Here is a 22,532-nt window from a genome sequence, read left to right on the forward strand (position 1 = left end):
TGTGTCCATATTCTCCATTTCCTTTCTGATTTTACAGACTTTGATCATTACTCCCTCTTAATCTTCATCTCTCCAGATTAAGGAGCTCTAATCCTTTTTAAAAGCCTAATCTCATACAGTAAGTGGGCTGCCCTGGATCATTTTAGCTGCCCTGCTGTAATGCGCTTCCAGCCTGACTGTGTTTTTCTGAGGGACAGTTACAGTTACTAACTCACACAGCAGAACTCCAGGTGTGGGCAGTCATGCCACGGTTTGGTGATGGTGCCTTGTGCACACCCAATGGGACTTTTTTGATTACCCCAAAAGTTTATCCTCAGAAGCTGGAATTCTTGAGTTGGATCTCAGTAGTGCTTATTGGTTAAAATGATCCTATGAGACCAGCTGATCAGACTCTTGGCAAATACTCTGGCAAATATGATTGTGTCTATAGGACATACCCAGCCAAATAGAAAATAGGCAGATCCACCCTGCCCTCCAGATGTTTTCAGTGTTCTTGTAGATCAAGCACTGGGGTATTTGACATCATGAGGAGATAGCCTTAGTCTTGAACTTGAGTCTATAATAATGACAGCTCTGGGGGAAAGCTCCAGTTTCTGCTTTATTTGATGTTATTCTCAGGCAGGCAATGAAATGTTCACCTGCAAGTAGTCAATATTTTATATAAAACATCCCCTTGAAATCTTACAAAGAAAATGCTTTGGGGAGTCTTTCCACTGTCAGTGGTCCTGGATCAATACCGTTGTAGGACTTACAGCATGGACTCTCCAGCCAGGCCCTGGGATCAAATCCCAGCTCTGCTGCTTTCTAGCAGTGAAACCCTGGCAAGTGTCTTACCCTGCCTGTACTTCAGTTTCCTTATCTGTAAAATAGGGGATGTAATAGTGACTACTTCACAGAGTGTTGTGAGAATTAAATGAATCTACACAATTGTATTAGCACAAAGTAAGTGCTGTATAAGCATTCACATTTATTCATTTGCAGAGCCAAGTAAATGTTACCTTGTTGCTGTGACATCTGTGGTCCAATTATTGCACCATTTCCTGCTGACCCTAAATAGGAAAGTAAACAAACGGGCAATGAGGGAGCTCTCATCAGAATTGGAACATATATTCAACGTAAAACTGGTTTTCACAAGAGCAAGTGTTCCTGCTCTGAATGTGGCTGAAAAGGCGACACTAGCCTGGAACAGCTCCAGGACTCTGGGGTCATCCGTTCCAGATGAGAAGGACACGATGAGATGCTGGGGGTGGTGGAAGGAGCACTGGCCTGGAGGGTCTGGCTCTGGCCATACCTGCCTCATTGTGGTCTACTGTGCTCACCTTTTGGAAAGTGATAAGATTAAATTCAAGAGTTTCATTCTAGCTCTGAAATTTTGTGACTCTAGAGTAGAGGGGCAGTTTCATTCTAGCTCTGAAATTTTGTGACTCTAGAATAGAGGGGTATTCTGCATTCTCTAAATAAAGTCTCTTTTGAGTCTTGGTCATGTTGCAAAGCTTTAAGCAGTGAGTATAGAGGCCCTGGGAATCCAGATGGCTTCCATGTGAGGCCCCTTCTACCCTGGTGACTCTGCTGCAGCTTAATTATCTCAGTCAAAATCTCCAGGGTGCCCATTTTCGTTTTCTCCCAAGGCCCTATTTGCAGATCTGAATCTCAACAGTGCCCTTGGAGACATGGCAATTCCCTTACTGGGATTATAGAGACTAATTTTTCAAATTCATACACAATTTATTGACTGAATTGGCACTATCATTAGACTTGCTGCTCACTTTATTTGTTGCCTTGGCCAGGGTGGCCAAACAATGAGGAAATTTGTCAGTGAAGCCCTCATGCCATTGGGTTTTCTCACACATTCCATGCAGGCCTCAACACAGACTATCAGCATTTATAATATGCATTAACTTCTATATAATGTACGTCTCCTCTCTTTCAGAGCAGAATTGGCTATGTTTTTTTTTTTATTCTTTTATTTTTTTATTTTTTTGAGACACAGAGTGTTGCACTGTTGCCTAAGCTGGAGTACAGTGGCATGATTTCAGCTCACCACAACCTCCACCTCTCGGGCTCCAGCGATTCTCCTGCCTCAGCCTCCCAAGTAGCTGGGATTACAGGTGTGCATCACTATGCCCAGCCAGAATTGGCAGTTTTAGATGATATAACTACCTTCCCTACTAAGCCTACTTGGTAGTGTTTGCAAAAGCAACACCACCCTTTTCTTTAAATATTCCCCAAATGATAGTAATATAGATCATGAAAGTCTTTTCCCTTGAGATTGTTTTGTATGTGTGAGAGTTTGTGGTTGGGAGGTATTGAGTCCTCATACAAGCCATTTGGATATGTATTCTTCATATTTCTTATGGCTATTGCACCTAAGTTCTGTTTTCTTAAGGCTACATTAACATTTTAAATTAGAATATGGTGCTAAAAGTGACTTTCAGTAAAAGGTAATGTATTCCCTGAGAACAAGTAAATACTTGGGCAGGGAGGGATGGTTTGAGTAGAGGTGAAAACAGAGAAATGATGGGAAGCTGACCATATGTAGAAGAAGCTGAAAGGTCATGGTTTCAAGGCCACTGTGTTTCCTTTCATTTAGAGCATCCACTTTTAAAGATTTATCATTTTCAGTGACCTGAAGGCGTACAAGATAATCTGTGTAGATACCTGAAACTGCCTTTCAACAAGGCCAGTCCTAGGTATTGACAGCATCCTAGGTTGTCCCACCCTAAACATTACCTCAAGTCCCATTGGGTAGGAGTCTAGTGGACTTCCAAAAGCCCCCGAGTTCATTCTGCAATCTGCCTGTCTTTGCAATCTATTTACCTGTCTTGAAAAAGGGATTCCAAAGCCCTTCACAAGCTCTTAAGTAGCATTTGAAATACAGCCCATCCTTAGTTTTGCAAAGGGTGATTGCAGAGAAAGACAAATAGAATTCCCTGGAAATACAGAATAGAATTTCTCTGACAGAACAAAGATCTTGCAGTCAAAACCAAGGGATGGGATTGAGGCCAATAATCCCCATCCTTTCCTAAAGCAACTCGGATATTATTTGGGGTGTCATAAGCTATTGCCAGCAGAGTGCCAGCATCCCCCATGAACTTGTGTTCTCTGAAGCTCTGTCTGATTTCCTACCATCTGTATCACAAGCGCTTTCTTTGGTGTTTACTATGAGCAATCCCTTTCTCATCACAACCTGCCTGAACCCCACTTCCTAACAGCTTCTCCCTAGGCTCCTTACTCACATTGCTCCATCAATAGCAATACAGGGCACACAGACTAGTTTTAATATTAGCCTAGGCAAAGCTTAATTATGAAGGTAAAGCTGTGGCAGAAAACAATCACGTAATACATTCTCGAACGAAACAGGAGTAACTGTGGATTATCTGTGCCCCAGCTTCCCTTCATGCAATATTGGAGTGTTTGTGCTATGTTGTTTTTGGATAATGTCCCATCCAAGAATGGCACCAAGCTTGGCCCTGCTTCTTTTACCACCTCACCCAGTAATTGTAGCAAAAGTTAAACTTCAAGGGCTGTCAGCTTGTCTTGAACTCAGACACCAATGGCACCAAATTTACGGGGCTGACTTAAAGGGGAATTTGTTAACACTACAAAGTGACTGGTATATGATTGCAGGGCTTATTTTTCCACCTAAGTATTGAGCTGATTTGTCAGATGTGTCATGAAGCAGGGATACATTCCTCTGTTTAGCACATTTAAATATGTACTGGCAGGAAAGCTCCCAATTAAACGTTCCTAATCAGAGCAGGGTAAGACTGAAGTCTTCCTGGTCCTTGACCACCACGTGTGTGGTTTATTAACTCTGTTCCCGTAGACATAGGCAGCCTTAACTCCATCGGGGGAATGGTCTGGCCTTACAGGTCGAATTCAAGTGAATCAATCGAACTATCCTCCAAGATAGAGCAGAATGAAAGACCCAGGATCAGTGCAGAATGAAAGACCATTAGGCCTCTAGAAAAGCTGTTAGCCCTCAAGTTTGGCTAAAAGCAGGGGCTGGCAAAGTATGGCCTATGGGCAGAGCTGCCCCTCAATCTGTTTTTATGGCTTCAAGCTAAGAATGACTTAAATTTTTAAACAGTTGTAAAAAATAAGGAGAATATCCAACCTAGACCAAATATGGCCCACAGAGCCTATGTATTTATTACCTGGCCCTTTACTGGCAAATTTTGCTGACCACCGGCTGAAGGTTTTTTCTCTTCTGTGGGACATGAACTCTCTGAGATTCCTTCTAGTTCTGAAGTTCCAAAATTCTGTGATTCCTTTTTTTTTTTTTTTTTGAGATGGAGTCTCACTCTGTCACCCAGGCTGGAGTGCAGTGGCATGATCTCAGCTCACTGCAACCTCCGCCTCTTGGGTTCAAGCAATTCTCTGCCTCAGCCTCCTGAATAGCTGGGATTGCGGGCGCCAGCCACCACGCCCGGCTAATTTTTTTGTATTTCTAGTAGAGACGGGGTTTCACCATCTTGGCCAGGTTGGTATTGAACTCCTGACCTCATGATTCACCCGCCTCAGCCTCCCAAAGTGCTGGGATTACAGGCGTGAGCCACCGCACCCGGCCAATTCCATGAGTCTTTGATGGAATAGTCTTGGTCCAGCTCTTACCTGAACAGCCTACCAGATGAGCAATTTCTGCACAGTGCTTCCAGTTGTTTTTAAGATCTTAACAGTATCTGTGTAGTATCTCAGGGGGAGAGAATGAGGTATTAGGTTTTAGTTTTTGATGCTTTTTCCTTGATTTTGCTTGCATATTTGTTTGTTTGTTTAAACTTGGAATCACTTTTTAAGACCTATGCAGAGTTTGGGAGAGAAGGAAAATTTGCTTCATCGCGACCAATAATGTGACAATTATGTTTCCTAACACGTATAATACCAAGACCTCCATGTGTGAGCAAATAAACTAGCCACTTAAAGCACGTTCACTGACCAAATTTCAGCCCCACGAAATAATTTTGACAGTCTCTCATAGACATTTGTCATTCTGCTCCTAGCAAGCTAGTACTATCTTCTACTGGGGCTATGGAAGAGATGGTTTTACTTACCTTGATCTCTACATGCAGAATTGCCAATGGAATACTTACATAATTTAAAATGTATGCACAATTTATTAAACGTAGAATAGAAGATGTTAAGACATCCTTTTCTATTACCTGAAAGTCACAATTATTCGAAATGCTCAAATCTAGAACATTGTTGATAATTATATAATATTTTAACAACACATATGTTATCAACATCATAATGCTGTAGAAATTTTATTGTGAATTTTGTATTTTCTAAATACTCTTAAAAGACAAAGACTCAAATTCAGGTAGAAAAACAAAGAAGATACTCAGGGTGTATCTCTGCCCTTCATTCATTGCTGTGGTCAGAGAAGTCTGTGTGAGGGGTTTGGCCGGTAGCAGCCCCCCAGATCCGTACACTGCAGACCAAAATTCAGCTCCTGTGATGCTTTTCCATGGAGTTTCCCTGTCAATTCAAGGTAGATCCTCAACCTCCCTCCTTGGCAGTTTGCATGTGACTGTTCATTCTTTTTATTACATTTCCTCCAGGGGGCCATTTTCACCATGTCATATCTGTTTGCTATCAGCATTTATAAGGGCTGGTGTGGCATTGGAGGATGTCAAGTGGTCTGACTTGGAAGTGTACTGCCACAAACTCCATGTAGGTGACAGGAGGAGAGACCTGCTTTCCCGTTGCCACTTTTTGGATTATCCCTGCAACTCTTTCCGTCTGGCTGACAAAAACCTTGGGGCTATTGGGTGGCTCATCACTTCTGCTCCTTCTCTAGCCTTTCCCTGGGTTTGCTTCCCCCAACCCCCACACCCCCTCGCACATTAACATGACATTGCCTGGTGAGCACAGAAGAGAGCAGCTTCCACCAGCTGAAACCTCTGATCTCAAACTCACTAGAGAGTTTGGCTTCGGGATTTTGGCAAGAAGGCCGATTGCCCATCAGGTCAGCATGAATAAAGATTTCTTTCTTCCCTTCTTTTTTAAAGTCAAGCATCAACCGAAACTGCTCCCAAAGCTCTGTCTCTCAAGACAATTTAACCCCTTTCACCTAAGTACATTTTCTATTTTGAATGCATGGTACTTTGTTTTATTCTTTTCCTGTGAGATGACCAAGAAATCTACTATATGTAAAATTTGAAAGCCAAGTCAATTCTAAACCAGGCTTATCATTTTTAAAGTATGTTTATCCAGCTTTGTAGTAGGAACAAGCAGACTGTTTGAAGGCCACATACTTTTCAAACCCTGGTTGCAACACGTCTGCCCCGTTTTGAAACTGTCTTTATCTAGCCGAGAAAACGAAAATCTATTTGACAAAGTGGCACTCTGGCCAGTTTATCTTGCAATATGGCTTTAGCTCACTGAGTCTATTGATTTCCTTAAATTAATGTTTACAGAATGCTACTGAATTTTGCTCAACAGAACATTGTTCTTTCGAAGCTTTATATATATATATATATAAAAGAGATACAGACTGTTATTGCCATGTGTTCCTTTGTTTAGACCAAGGAAACATAGTTTTTAGGTTTTTTTTTTTCTTAAGACAGCCTTGAACTATAGCCACTTCCTACAAGCATTTACTTTTCACATATTTAAACAGCAAAACATGTAACTAGAAAGTGGGCCCAAACTGCATGGGTATTAGACGAATCTAATCCTCAGTGTTCCTGAAAGCTGAATGCCACCTGGAGCATCAGAGGGAGAAAGCCTTTAGTCCTAAGCCCAGATGTTGCTGGAGAACCTTCCTCTGCCTCATTTGGGGTAACTCGGCAGGCACCCGAAAGCAACTTCACAGCCAGTGCTCCTGGATCCTGCTAGTTTTTCCAAACACAAGCATCCTAATAAAATTCAAACACCATTTAGCTGTTTGGGAACTCTAAATATAACATCTTGCCCTTTGACCACGGTGCTCAGTGTTCAATACACAAAACCTAATCTCTAAAGATGATTTTAAAACTGACCTTCCCAGAGAAGTACACGTATCCATTCAGCTACGAACAGTGCAGAAAACAGGATTTTGACTCATAATTATGAAATGGCCAAAATAAAACTTAGGGAACACAAAGCAACTTTTCTCAACCGGTTGACTCAGCCAACAAACTCACCCAAGCGAACCTCCTCAGAGCACCTCTCAAAACGATGCTTTGCAGACATTTATTAATCACAGTGAATGCTTCCCAGGAATTAGGGCTCCTCTTTAAAATCTCAAACTTGTAAACCACCTTATATTTGGATGATATTTTATGCTTCCCAAAGTGCATTCATGTTTTCTTTTCCATTTGATCCTCCCCTGGAATGAGAGGGCACTGGAATAGAATCTCAGGATTCACTGTGTATAGCATCCTGCACCATTCCTTCTCTTCTGGAGGGCCTGTTAGTCCCCGGCTGTACACACAGGATAAATGCATGCATGACTGCAAAGGGAGACCCTTAGTAACCACATCTTGTGACCATATTTTACAGCTCCATGATTCCTCTTTTCAGCCTCTGGCAGGAGAGTTTAGTGTGAGTGAGACAGTGAAGAGGAGCAGCAATAACGTATCTGTTCTTGGCTTTTCATCTGATAATCTCTATGAGGAGTTACTAAAGCATCTGAGTTTATCCATTTAAGTCCACTCTGTCTGCAGTGTAAGTCCCCAGCTTGTGCCACTGCTGTCAGGAGATGAGTCTCTCCTTGATCGATATTTACTTAACAAACAGCAGGGATGGGAGAGTTTGTTTAGAGGAATCATGTGCACTCTAGGGTGAATGAATGCTCGGGAAAGTACTTCAACTATTTGTCTCCTTCCCTAAGATTTTTGTGTACGTGTGTGTGCACACACGTGTGCAGATGCCCATTCTCTTTTTAACTTCTCCAAAGACACTTCGAAGTCATCTAGAAAAATACCTCGCTATGTATGATTGGTACATCATTATACCGTTAAGGAGCTAATGATGCAGATGCAGTTTTTCTAACCCAGCAAAGTTTGGTTCTTCTTTTGTGCTCTTATATAGAGCACAAAAGAGACTCTTAGGATAAACTAAATGCACAAGCATCTACCTTTGACCCCTTTCAGATGAGTGGAAGGGAAGAAAATACGGATGGAAACAATAAAAGCAGTTTGACAAGGCAGCTCTTCACTATGTATTTTTGATGGCATTACCTATATATTTTTAAAGGCCCACAGGGACAAAAAGTAACTTTCTCCAATTTTTCAGAGCTGCTTCAGCATTAGATATATTTAACTCTACTACTGTATATGAATTCCACGGTGTGAAAATTGAGAGAGCACTGTTCTTTCGAGTTCCCTGAAACAATTGCTTGAAGGCTCAAGTCAGCCTCTTGAATGCAGTTGACTTGGAGGCATCTGGGGCTAGATCGAGGGGTTTTGTTTCTGGGTGTGGGGAGAGGCTGGGGGGTGGCTGGGGAGTTATTTATTTATTTGATTTTGTGAATCGGAGTTGTAAAAGCCATCTGAAATATTCATGCAGAATAGTCTGAGAAGCCCGTTTCTGTTTTATTTACCGCACAGTAGAACAGCCACAGCGGATTAGTTCTACAATACCCGTAACAAAAGCCCAACAGCTGATGCATGTGATGTTAGGAGGTGACAAAACAGTTAAAGTATGCTGCTGGCTACAGGCAAGCAGTCAGCAGATGCAGACAAAAGGGTTTGTGACAAGAATAACTCTCTCTCCAAGGCGAGCAGTGAAGAGTATCCAAAATACCAGTACCCTTTTCTCCTTGACATTGTCTTCTTACAGTCAGCATTTTATTGCCCTTTTATAGTATAAAAAAAAATGGAGGAGGAAGAAGAAGGAAAACCCACACACAAACTAATTCACCAAAATACTAGGCAGGATTGTACTTTCCCATTCGCTAGCCATGCCTGCCAGTACACGTGTCCTTTTCCATTTCTCCATCGAAGCAAGTTTGAAAAAAAAAATTAGCTTAAAAGATCAGCTATAAAGATGATTTCCCTTGAAAAGTTTGTAATCTATTGATAGGCTTGATAGGCCATTGGAGCCTTTGGTTACGGGTTGGGGGGTGGGTGGCCAGGGAAAGAAGTCGATGCCTGGTTTGTTTTCTGTCCATTTCAGTGAAGATCATTTCAGTGATGAAATGAGGCCAGAGGGCCAATTTTTAAAGGGGATTGAGGAGGGAGGAGTGTCCATGGAGAACTGAGCAAGGGGCAAGGTTTAGGTCCCCCGCAAGAGGCTGATGAATGAGCTTACGGACGGTTCAGAGGTGTGAAAAATGAGCTTCTCTGTCTCCAGAAAATAGGAGAGGCTGTCTTCTTTTTAACCTTTGTAATTCCCCTTCTATTCTCTGTGACATTCATTCAGCTGCCAAGAGCGTTTGGCAAGGTTTGGGCCAGCGAGCACACTTCCAGTGACCGCTAACCTTGGTATGTCCTGACACTTATGATGAGTATCTGCAGGACACAGAAGGCAGGCAGCCTGCTATGTCAGGCTTTTATTATGTACTGCAGAGGCTAGGGACAGTCAGTTTAATAAAACAAATCATCCTTGAAGGTAAAGCAACTGGGAAGAGGAGGAAGACAGGAGAAAAATGTGTCTTTGCCACTCATTCCGATGGAAAAAAAAAAGAACAGCAAAACAACCACCCACCCAACACACCGTGTGTGTGTGTGTGTGTGTGTGTGTGTGTGTGCGCGCGCGCGCATTCGCGCACGCACACACACGCGCAACCCAGCTGTGGACTGGGCAGACTTGAAAACCTCCTCTCATTTTCTGCATTTCATGGAAGCCCAGAAGGCTCTTGTTTGCTCTGAGGAGACTCAAGTCTGTGATGAAATTGGTAGAAGCTGATAGCCAACCCCCTTCAAATTTATGCATATCTTCAAGTACCTCATTACTTTATATTCTTCTCCAAATATCAAGGCAAGACCATCTGGGGTGACGTTCCTATATTGGGATGCCTTTTTATCAAAACAAAGTTTCCACTCTCCTCTCCTGAGGAACGCTGGGCAAAGCAGCTCCCACAATAGCCTCAGAGTTCCAGCCAAAGACTTTGGAAGCCTTTTGTTTTTTCCCTGTGGCATGTCCAAAGGCAGGGCCTTCTCCCCTCCTCCGCCCGCCCTCCCCAGCCGCCTGCATTGTCTTGCATTCCAGTGACTTGATTGACTGTTACCACCTGATGCTGAGGAGATACTCTAGGGTTCATTCTGCAGATTGTTGGGTTCTATTAAAAGAAACCTAGATAAGGGATTACTTGTCACTAAGGGATTTTCTGCAGATGTTTATTGGTGATGGGAAAGCCATTAGGTGTGAAGAGGTGCAGAAAAATATGGACAACATCATTCTGATAAGACTGGTTTCTAAGATGCTCCCACAAAACATCAGAAAGTACCCCCTATTATTCTGTTAAATGGAGCTGGGTGTTTTCAAGCAGAGGTAAAGGTCTCTTTTTCCATGGGTGATGTTTCTATGTGTGGATGAAATTCACTGGAACCCTCTCAGAAGATCAGTTGCTACCCAAAAGTGTACCTCTGGGAGCCACCAAACACATGAGTTGCTCCAGTAGTTCAGTATCTCATTACAACTTTCTTTTGTCCAGTCCAGTCCATTGCATGAGTATCACCTCAAAGTAAGCACTATATTAACTAATCATTTTATTTGTTCACAAAGAATTCATTTCTTCCCAAATATAAACCAATAACCAAAGTCTCCTCCAGGGCATCTTTTATACCATTTCCATTTATTTTGAAGTTACTAGATTCTCTGTGGTTTTTCAAGATTACAGAGGCACAGCTTTTCAAGGTTTTGGTGCCTCATATAAATAGTAGAAATTGCTGAAAAAGCATTAAAAGGGAGCCAGCATCGTTTAATGCAAAGACACCTTACCTCACAGTAATCTCTTCATCTCATCATTTCTTCATCTCATACAATCTCATGCTTTCTTCATCTATAAAGTGATGATTTCTGAGATCTATTCGAACTCTTTGAATTCTACCTTACTTTACCATTATTTTAAACTTCTTTTTTTTTTTTTATTTTTGAGATGGGGTCTCACTGTCACCCAGGCTGTAGTGCAATGGTGCAACCTCAGCTCACTGCAACCTCCGCCACCTGGGCTCAAGCCATCCTCTCACCTCCACCTCCCAGTAGCTGGGACCACAGGCATGTGCCACCACACCCAGCTAATTTTTTTGCATTTTTGGTAGAGACGGGGTTTCATCATGTTGCTCAGGCTGAAGCTTCCCTTTATTAAGTATTGTTAAAGTATTAAGTAACTGCCACTCTAGAGCAATATGGAGTAAAGCAGAAGGCAAGATCTCACTATGAGCTATTTACCAAATAACTTTGCAAAAGATACTCTGCTGAGGCTCCTTATCTAGAGACACCTTATGATGAGGTAATTGAAAGTACATAAAAGTAGATAAAAAGTTAAACAGCATCAAGACACAAATGCAAAAGGTGATAAAGGATAACCTATGATTGCCACCACAAGAAAGGAATATTTAAAACAGATTAAAACCCACTAAAAACCATTAACAAGCATGACGAACTATAAAAATGATGAAGAGGAGACTGCATACAACCCCCAAAGAAGTTGCCTTGTTCTCATGCAAATCCTACAACTACACTTCCCTCCCTCCCCTGCTGCTGATGTTCTAGATGTACCTCTTCTCTCTCCTCTGACAGTCTTGAACAATGCCTGCCCTTCCCCTGTCCCTGGTTCCCCAGACCTCCTGTGCAGTTCTTGGTGTGGGCAGGGCTTCCGGCCTTCTCTGGCTTCTCTGGGGCAGCTGCCCACACCTTCACCCCTCAAAGCTCTCTGCCATGTCATGCTGCATCCCTGAGTGCTCAAGGAACATAGAATTTCACTGAGGCTGTATTGCCGTTGGCTGATGAAACCACCCTTCTTGAAACGTTTATTTTAATAAATGCCTATAATTGGCCAGGTGCAGTGGCTCACACCTGTAATCTCAGCACTTTGGGAGGCCAAGACGGGCAGATCACCTGAGGTTGGGAGTTGGAGACCAGCCTGGCCAACATGGTGAAACCCCATCTCTACTGAAAATACAAAAGTTAGCCAGGCGTGATGGCACTTGCCTGTAATCTCAGCTACTCAGGAGGCTAAGGCAGGAGAGTCTCATGAACCCAGGAGGCAGAGGTTGCAGTGAGCCAGGATCATGCCACTGCACTCCAGCCTGGGTGACAGAGCAAAACTCCATCTCAAATAAATAAATTAATAAATGCCTATGATTATGTTTCTGTAGCATTTGGCTAACAGCTCCCAATCCAAGGAGTGAGAGTGGGCAGTTGCTCCGCTTCACTGTTCTCCAGCCACATTCCCTCCCTCAGTGATGCTCATTTGATAGAATGTGGAGGATTATCTTTGGGGGTGGAGGTGACTGTGCTAGAAAAGATTGCTTCACGAATTTTTATTTGTATAATGTGAGTGGGAGGGCTAAGCTCTCCTCCAACAAATACTCATGTATACAAGACATTTGGGAGGAAATCACCCAAAGGCCTGTAGAAAATCCACATGAATTCTCAGCAGAGAATGGCCCTTGAGGTGTATGGGTTTGCACATTCATGGCGGACAAGGCGGCACTTTGAAGGATTTTCCAGGCAACACTGGGAATTATGTCCTAAGAAATGGGCCAGTGTGAAAGTCTTTAGGAGGGTCTGATAAAAATGTAAGCTTAAGACTGATTGGCCCCAAAAGGAGTCCCTTTCATTTTTTTCTGCAGAGTTATTACATTTCTTTATAAACAACAATTAACTTGCCATAGGGAACAATGAACTTCTTTGTCCAATTTTAAACGTGAAAAACAGTGATGTCGGGTGATGATTCTGGTTTTCTTTACCAGTTACTACTATTGTTAAAAAGTACATTGCACCCAAGGTGGGAAGAAAGAGATGAAACATGTTCAACATTACACTACTTCCTTTTTACTTTGGTACGTGGCATGTCTGAACTTAGATGAAATGTCTTTCATCTCTTGTATATGCGTAGATAAATATGGCTACATGTACACCTATGATACGTTTATGTCCTCATACGTCTGCACTTAATGTAAAAATGAAACTTTACTGGTGTATAAGTACCCCACTAAAAGAAATCTACTAAGTGTCAATGTGTACTTGGAAAATCATGAGTTCATGGATTATTCTGTGATTCCATTATGTTGGTGTGGGGATAGATAGACCATGCTGTACTATAAGTAACTTCCAAAGAACACTAAATAAGTACATCAGTAGCTACTGCTTTCCTTAGTCAAGAGATCAGATTAATAAGTAATTAAGAGAACACACACACACACACAACACACATACATATTAATTGCTGTGGAAGAAAAGCCTTAAGAAATTGGGGTTCTAAAATGAATATTTGGGGAATGTTTATTTTGGATGATAAGGACCTTGAGGAATTTCCTTACCCTCTCTGAGCCTCAGTTTTCTATTGTGTAACTGGGATAATAACACCCCTTAGAGAGATTGGGAGAACTGAATGACATAATTCACATTCAGTACATAAAACATAGCCTGGCAAGTAGTAAATACTCGAAAAAAGTTAGTTTGTATTATTATTATTATCAGCTGAATAAATCACTCTCTTATGGAGCAATTCTAATCTCAAGGTTAAGTAGTTTCTGATGTAATATTTTAGGATCAGTTTTGTGACTTCATGTTAATATTATTATTTTACTCCTTTATGTATATAGAATACTTTATATTGCAGATTAATATACAACTTAGCATCTGAGTCAACAATCCTCTGAGACAAACAGATAACTGAGATTTTAGAAGATTTTCTTCATTTAAAGCTTGGGTTTAATTTATAAAGAAGCCCAACTATTTGTTATTCTATTTTGAGAACGTATTTTGTTTTCATCATGGCAATCAAAAAGAAATAGGATTCAAATTCTGAAAAAATAATTGGAGACTTTCTTCTGGATAGCACTTATTTAATAAAGTGAGGAATCCCAAAAGTCACATCCCATATTCCTATCCTAATATCCACAATGAAATCCCAGTTTTTCAATAGGTCTGCGTTGGATCTTTCATACACTCTTCTTAAAACAAAGCTGTCAACCCCACATCACAATGCTTCTATATATAATGACTTTACATTAAAAGAATAGAAGCCAGCTATTTTTAGAAAATGCAGGTGCCATGTAAGCCCCTTTCTGCAAGAATGATCTTAGCTCAGTTTCCTTGGAATAACTGTAGACTTGAAACTGAAAACTTTATTAATGCCATTGTCTCCTTGTATCAGCAGGTTCCAGAGAGATTCCTGGAAGTTGCTCAGATCACATTACGGGAGTTTTTCAATGCCATTATCGCAGGCAAAGATGTTGATCCTTCCTGGAAGAAGGCCATATACAAGGTCATCTGCAAGCTGGATAGTGAAGTCCCTGAGATTTTCAAATCCCCGAACTGCCTACAAGAGCTGCTTCATGAGTAGAAATTTCAACAACTCTTTTTGAATGTATGAAGAGTAGCAGTCCCCTTTGGATGTCCAAGTTATATGTGTCTAGATTTTGATTTCATATATATGTGTATGGGAGGCATGGATATGTTATGAAATCAGCTGGTAATTCCTCCTCATCACGTTTCTCTCATTTTCTTTTGTTTTCCATTGCAAGGGGATGGTTGTTTTCTTTCTGCCTTTAGTTTGCTTTTGCCCAAGGCCCTTAACATTTGGACACTTAAAATAGGGTTAATTTTCAGGGAAAAAGAATGTTGGCGTGTGTAAAGTCTCTATTAGCAATGAAGGGAATTTGTTAACGATGCATCCACTTGATTGATGACTTATTGCAAATGGCGGTTGGCTGAGGAAAACCCATGACACAGCACAACTCTACAGACAGTGATGTGTCTCTTGTTTCTACTGCTAAGAAGGTCTGAAAATTTAATGAAACCACTTCATACATTTAAGTATTTTGTTTGGTTTGAACTCAATCAGTAGCTTTTCCTTACATGTTTAAAAATAATTCCAATGACAGATGAGCAGCTCACTTTTCCAAAGTACCCCAAAAGGCCAAATTAAAAAAGAAAAATAATCACTCTCAAGCCTTGTCTAAGAAAAGAGGCAAACTCTGAAAGTCGTACCAGTTTCTTCTGGAGGCAAAGCAATTTTGCACAAAACCAGCTCTCTCAAGATGAGACTAGAAATTCATACCTGGTCTTGTAGCCACCTCTCTAAACTTGAAAATAGGTTCTTCTTCATAAGTGAGCTTACATCATTCTTCATAAAGAAAAATCCTATAACTTGTTATCATTTTTGCTTCAGATACTAAAAGGCACTAAGTTTCCAATTTACGCTGCTCAACTTTGTTTATATGCTTAAAAGGATTCTGTTTACTTAACAATTTTTTCCCCTAAAATACTATTTTCTGAATACTTCCTTCCAGTAAGGAATAAAGGAAAGCCCAACTTGGCCATAAAATTCTTGCCTACACTAGAAGTTTGTTGACAGCCATTAGCTGACTTGATCGTCATCTCCTAAGAGGAACACATATATTTTCACAAGCAATTCCACACTATCCTGATGGGTATGCAAAGTGGTGACAGTCTAACTCAGTGTTTCTTCATTTTAGGTATAACATTTTAAAGCAATTGATAATGCCTCTTCCAATTCAGAAGCTAGTATTGACCAAAATGTGAGAAGAGTGTATAGCATAGGAAAATTTGGGGTTAACCCAAAAGACACAATTCCAGCACACATAAGAAAGCTAGCTGCTATTTTATGCTTTCTTCCATGGTTCTCCTCTTTTTTCCCTTTTATTTTTCCCTGTTTTTCAATGATGTACAGTGTTCCCTACTTGCATTGAAAAAACTCGTATGGCATTCACACTTTTTTTCTTAGGTGGGTTTTTGTGTCCAGATGCAGTAAGAATTCATTGTTCATCCTAAAACTGTTTTCCAGACCCTTCCTTCCCCTTAGGTAATTTGATATACACCTCCTAAAATGACACAGTAACAAATCTGGTATTTAGAACATATAGAACATAAATGCCATTTTTTAATTCAACTTTAATAAGAATTACATTTGACTTTGGAGAATACAGGTCTTGACCCATGTGACTGACTAGCTGACCCGATCGCTGTAATTTAACGTCATTTATAAATTCTGCTGATGGACAGGAATGTATGAACTCAATTATTGTCAGCACAAAGCCTTAAAACCTGCTGACTTTAAATTAAATGGTGCAGTCCTATGATGCCCTGCACCATCCAGGGGACTAACAGGGCCTCGCAGTGTAGACAGAGGGTGCAGCCACACGGGCGGGGGCACCAGCCACCTCACTCTGCACCCGCGGCCTCACACATCTCCCAGCTCACACTCTACTAATGCACAGAGTCATTAGATCCAATTTGTTATTTTTCTCACTTGCTTTAAAAAAAAGCAGTTTGGATAATCATGACATTGGAATAAAGTGGGAAGGAAAAATTCCATCAGCACAAAATAGGGAAGTAATCCCAACTTGTAGTCACAGTTTTCTGACTGGCTTTGTTTTAAAAGAGGATGGCAGTCCTTGTTCGTGTCAGTGTGCCACTGGGTTTTTGCTGTTCCGTGTAATTCATATCAACTTTGTGTTGCCATTTGCAAGGTAAAAGGCAAAGCTGTAGTGTATTCACCTATGTAGACAGATTGCTAGATATCTTTTTGATCTGGGGCGAGTTCAATATTGATTCCAGACTTATTTGGATTTTTTTAGTATTATTTTCCCCTCCCTTTCTAATTTAAATAGACAAATTAAGCAAAAGTGTGTGTTCACAACCAAATGTTGATGCCCTTATCTACTGATAATATCCTCTCAATGTTCACTGAGGCATAGAAATTATTTCAGAGTAGAAATTGCAGCATGAGGATAAACTCACCTCTTTGTTCTGAAAATAGAACTTTATCACTATGCTTTCCGGTGGTTTTCCCTTTTACAATCGAAATCTTGTGCCTCCCAAGTGCATTGGAAAATGACAAAAGCCTGTCTCTCCAAATTCCTATTTAACAGTTTGATTTTTTTTTTTTAATCACCATCTTTCAAATCTTAGCTCAACTCTCACCAAGTGAAAATTGGCTACTTGGGAGAAAGTTAACTTTCTATGGTGGGATGGTGAAGGATGAGGGACAGTTTACATAGGAAAAGAAAAAAAAAAGTCTAAAGTCCATGTTGAAAAACCACACTACCACTTATTTTCTGCTAACCCTAAATTATTTTTGCGTATACGCTTGAGGTTATAGTCTGTGCCTAGACCTAAAATGCACCAGCGGGGGGGATTTTAAAAAATCCTTCAAAATACCAGTTTTTTCCCAACAAGTACAATTGTTCTTGTGCCTTCTGTGGCTTTCGATTTCATCTTTTTGACTTTATTTCCAATTACTACAGCTGCAATAAACACTAGATTTTTTTTCTGGCTGTTTGACATAACGTTGATAGCTATGCATATTTTGTGTCTTTTTAAAACAAAGCGGGAGAATACGTTTTTGAAGAAGAGAATTTTTAGAACAGTTTGATACCGCAAATTATTTTTTCCTCAATTGTTTGAGCAGCATTCGAGTTTTGAAAATTCTTGTAGAAGCCAATTTTTTGTAACTGTGGTGCAAATCTTGTGTTTTCTTAGCCTAATGAAAAGTAGTATAGAAGCAATATTTCATACCATGTGCTATATATGTGTGCGCAGATGTGTGAACATAAAATCACATACACACATATACACACATGTAAAAATATACATATATATATATGCGTGTGAAGTGGAAAGCTTACCTTTTCCTATCTAGATTTAAGAACCTATTTTAGACATTTGTTATGTTTTGTGAAAAGAATGTTCTATTTGCAACAAAACATTTAATTCTTACTGTATCTCTGGCTGTTTAATGAGGACGTTTCACATTAAATGGTAAAACACATGGAAGATGTTAGAATGTAGTAATTATTTAAGTAAACGTTCACCCACATATTCCTGAAGTTTGCTTTGTGCCTCCGAGTATTATTTAATTAAAGAAGTGTTTTATGTTTGCAGAATCTTTGTCACTGTACTAGGGATGTGGGTGAATATCATTTAAAAAAATTTAAAACAACAAAAAAAAAGCAAAACAGAAACACTAAAGCAAGAGGGGAACTTTTATAAAGCAATGTAAATATTTAACCTCATGGCTGTCATTATGTAAGACATGAGATTTTAATAAATAACTACATTCTCACGACATCTGTTGAATTTACTAGGAACACTACAGTGACTGTATAGACAGTTGAAAGCATTCTTGAAAATCCTGCTCTCTCCTTTTAAAAGTTAACAATCTCTTTTATCAGATGTCAAGGGCAAGGGTAATGCAGTTTCTGTAAATTTATGAAATTTCTTTTTCTATGTACATGAAGACATTTAGTAAGTAACACCCCCCCTTCCCATGCGCACATGTGCGCATACACACACACACACACACACACACACACACAAACACACACACTGTCATAAAGCTAATGATTTGGGGACTTTAAAAAATAGGATGTCCTCCAGGAACAATCATAAATTTATGAAAGAAAGAGTAGTTTACAGACTCCCCTGAAAGAAGCAGTGTATATGTGAAGACAGTGCAAAAATCTCTTTGCCATGTATATTATAGCGTATTCATTGGTGTGAATAGTACAAATGTTTCCTTCTGGTACAAACTCTGTGTTTGCAAATTTACAAGAAGCATTGTTTTCAAAAAGCTCCCCTTAAAAAATGTAACTGGTTTATATGAGTAAGCAGTTACCGTATTGCACTTAAATGTTATGTTGAAGGAAATGCAGTTTTGTTTTCTGTAGATCTGTTGGTTGTAAACCATCTATAAAACTAAAGCTAAAATGCTCATATTCAGAGCTGGGATCAAAACTGGTATTTAACCTTTGCATCTTCTTATAATTATCCTTCTAAGAATATAACAGAATGTGGAAGTGTCTGGACTTTGAGTCTTTTCAACTGAGCCTTCTCTCAAATCTGACACCCCCTCAGAATGCACAAACATAAGCAGAAAAGGCAAACAAGCTTACCTTCTTTTGTGAAAACGTATTCATTCTGTATTTTTTTAAATATTCAATTCCCCTAAAAATGGGGAGAAAATATTTTAAAATTGTATATTACGACTTCAAATTTAGAACTAAGAAAAAAATGTATTTGGGATTGGTCTCAGCGCTACCTAGAAGAATCAAAGGTCATGGCTTCCCTCAATATTGTCCCAGCCATTTCTCATATGTATATAGTATAAACCGTGACAAAACACTGCCTTTATATTATTTAGCAATATGTTGTAAATAGCATTATTAAGCTCTTTTTTGTAATAAAGACCCTTTGATTTGAATATAGTACAATAACTGAACTGATAAAGTCAATTTTTGATTTTTGTTTGTTTTTTTTAGCTAGAGGCAATTTCAATTGTGAATTTTTGTTGTTGTCTATTGTTCTGAAGACTTTGCATAATTTATTGGTTTAATTTATCCTAATTTATTTGATGAAGGTGTACAATTTTGTATTACCAAGGATGTACTGTAATATTAATTGATATGATAAACACAATGAGACTCCCTGTCCATATTAAAAAGAAAATAAAAAGGTGCAGTAGACAATTGATTTTAAAGGAAAAGTTAAAAAAATTAGTTTGGCAGCTACTAAATTTTAAAACAGGAAAAAAAAAAGTTGTTGTGGGGAGGGTGGGAAAGGGGTTTTACTTTGTGTGTTTTAAGCTTTTGTATACTCTCCAAACTTTTACCTTTTGCTTTGTACCACTTAAAGGATACAGTAGTCCAATTGCCTTGTGTGCCTTCCATCTCCTCTTAAACTGAATGTATGTGCAGTATATATGCAAGCTTGTGCAAAATAAAATATACATTACAAGCTCAGTGCCGTTTGATTTTCTTAAAGAAAGAGTGACTTTTAATTTTTGGACCTGTATCCAATTGTAGGACAGTAGGCTAGTTGTGCCAGTAATGTCAAGTATGGAGATTTTCTTTCACTACAATTCTTCATTCTGTTAGCCTAACGTGCAGCTCCTAGAAACAACCTCTTTTACTTTAGATGCTTGGAATAATTGCTTGGATTTCTCTCTCTGAAACATCTTTCAGGCTTAACTTTATTTAGCCCTGAAACTTAAAAAAAAAAAAAAAAGCTTTAGCTCAAAGTAATATTTTACTCTTAATTCAACAATTGTTAATGTTGAATGATTCTAAGAACAAGGAAAGATGTTCCCAAAAGTCACAGAATGGCAAATATATTACTTAAAATATGGGGATTTGGGGCTTGCACTGTTCTTACTTCTGGATGAACTCAGAACTAAGAAGTACTATTGTAAATTTTCAAAACCTTTCTAAAATGTTTCTCTTGACATGGCTGGCAGCATGTTCCATACTAAGAGCATTAGTTTTATGGCTATTGAAAATTTCTTTTTATCTATTTCACTTTGTTTTAAAATGATATCTCCTTTATTCTTAAATTAAGAACAAGAGAAACTAGCAGAAATCACCTGCTATTTGAGATTGACTCTATTATCCACCATTCACTGCAGCTGTACCTCACTTGTGTCTGTACATGCTGTTGCAGACTGAGTCTTCATCATCTCTGATTTCTTCTTTTGCTTTCCCCTTAATGATGAAAACTTTATATTTTGACCCTGTTGACACAAGGGTGCCTGGAGTCAATGCAATATTAAAACTTTGTTAAAGGATGATAGCATTTTTCCACTTTCAGCTCTTTTTTCTATCAATGCCACATATTTAAATTCTAGTCTTCCTAACTAAATTGTGCAAAAGTGCATACTTAAATCCCTCTATGCCAAAATAGTTATTCCCTGATCGGAAAAAAAAAAATTCCCTCCTTCCACTGTCTCTTCTTGGAAGAGAAAAGACATTTGCAGGAATGTAGTGACTCCTCCATCTTCTTGTACTTAACAGTTATCTGCTTTATGCCAGATTGGATAATTTCCATAGCCACCAAATCACTAACAGGTTACAGCAGGTAGGAGGTTTATTAAAAACATACCTTCAAGCCCTACTTTTGTGACTCTAAATCATCTGGCGTCATTAGTCTAGAATAAAATGCACCACCTTCAACACTGATCTGAGCCGTCATCATAAACCCTGTTCCACATGCATCTCAGTGTGACCAGTGCCCACTTTAGAGTTGAATGTATAAGCTTCTCAACCTCATAATAAAGAAAAGATTGGTTTTATTCATTTTTATCTCCATTAATTTTTAAAAATTAACGTTTTTCTTCAAAAGCAAGGCTAAAAATCAGTACATATTTACAATTAATTTAATACATGCAGAGGTGAGACACAGATGCCCCTGAATAAAAGTCATAGAAATACATCAAATGTTTGTCATGTACTGCCAAATGCTGGGGTCTATGGACATTCCTGAATTTTAAAAGGCATAAAATATAAGAAAAGGGTGTACAAAGGAAAATGGCAGATACAATTTTAGAAAATAACAGATATAATAACTAAGTAAATTTATTAAAGATTACTGAAGAAATAAATTGTGCTGTACTCCCTTACCAAAGATATAACCATGTAGTAGAGGGAGGCTTTACATTGGGATAAAAAGCTAAATAGTAGCTTTTGAAACTAAAGAAGTCATCAAGAGAGTATTGCTTTGGGTATTAGGAGACCTGTCTCCAATCCATTCAATTCTAAAACTTTTTACACAGCCTACCCGGAGAAAACTAAGCAAGTCACTTAATGCTTCAGTGTCCCAGGAGAATTGAAATAATTATGAGAGCTAAAGGATTGCTAGATTCAGTGTGGTCACCATGTTGACTTTCACCTGCCAAGGATTCCTACCTGCCAAGAAAATGGTGTGTTAGGATGTTTTTGCTTCTCGTGAGAAGGCAATTTAAGTGACAAGGGCAAAATTCTGAAGATAGCCAAGTGTGACTCTAGATCCTTCTCTCTCTGTTTATGACTGGTTCTCTCTTGGGTAAGTGTCTCTGCTTCTTGTCAAGCATCTGGTGCTCCTGGGTTGCCCCAGCCCTCCCTCTGTTCACAGCAACAAGCCGTCTACGAAAGTTAACATTAAGATATCACTGACTTGATATGTTTCTCTTACCAATGGTACATTCATAAAAAGATATGCAGTGTACAAGAATACATTTTTACTGCTTCTGTATTAGGTCTGATGTCACCTGAATGCAAGTAATTATGGACTGGAGGCCTTCCCCACCAAACATCAGGCTAGGCTTTTTGAATGGTATCACTCCTGGCTGCATCTTGCAAAAAGGCTGTATGGTCTGTCAAGCCATTTCTGTCTCCCAGGCCTCCTTCCCCTCCGTCCCCAGGACTGGCTTCCTGCCCATGATCATAGAGTCCTTCTACATCTCCCCAAAAATCATTCATAAGAACTCACAGGAGGAGGCACACTTCTCCACTAAAGCCTGGTTTGTTTTTCTGGTTCCAAAGAAAAATTATTATCACTGAAGATATTTCAGAGATAACCTAACTCAGTGGCTTTTATTCCCCAGATCGCTAGAGAAATGTGGTTATTATCTCAGGGGCCACCAGATTAGGACCTCAACA

The 22,532-nt window shown here is 39.5% G+C and overlaps 1 protein-coding gene across 14 annotated transcripts in view, besides 1 other annotated feature; it reads left to right on the forward strand.

Annotated features, from left to right (window-relative positions):
• The window catches only part of PROX1 (prospero homeobox 1), a 58,360-nt gene extending 38,241 nt beyond the window's left edge, over positions 1-20,119 (forward strand). For 8 of the 14 annotated variants that reach the window (XM_011509773.3, XM_011509771.2, XM_005273194.3 and 5 more), the window contains one exon: positions 14,255-19,862. In XM_011509773.3, coding sequence (XP_011508075.1) covers positions 14,255-14,443 — 189 coding nt within the window. In that variant the 3' untranslated portion in view covers positions 14,444-19,862. Of the gene's footprint in view, positions 1-14,254 lie in introns of all 14 variants that reach the window. The other 6 variants (XM_047425575.1, NM_001270616.2, NM_002763.5 and 3 more) reach the window with 1 other exon arrangement.
• Positions 8,587-9,482: an enhancer, noted in NCBI's record as "H3K27ac-H3K4me1 hESC enhancer chr1:214203321-214204216 (GRCh37/hg19 assembly coordinates)". NCBI's record gives its function as "activates a minimal SCP1, AML or CMV promoter by ChIP-STARR-seq in naive H9 embryonic stem cells {active_cell/tissue: H9 hESC(naive)}" and the evidence as "EXISTENCE:reporter gene assay evidence [ECO:0000049][PMID:30033119]".
• Positions 20,120-22,532: the final 2,413 nt, after the last annotated feature.

This window comes from Homo sapiens, chromosome 1, assembly GCF_000001405.40.
Source record: "Homo sapiens chromosome 1, GRCh38.p14 Primary Assembly".
Taxonomy (NCBI): domain Eukaryota; kingdom Metazoa; phylum Chordata; class Mammalia; order Primates; family Hominidae; genus Homo; species Homo sapiens.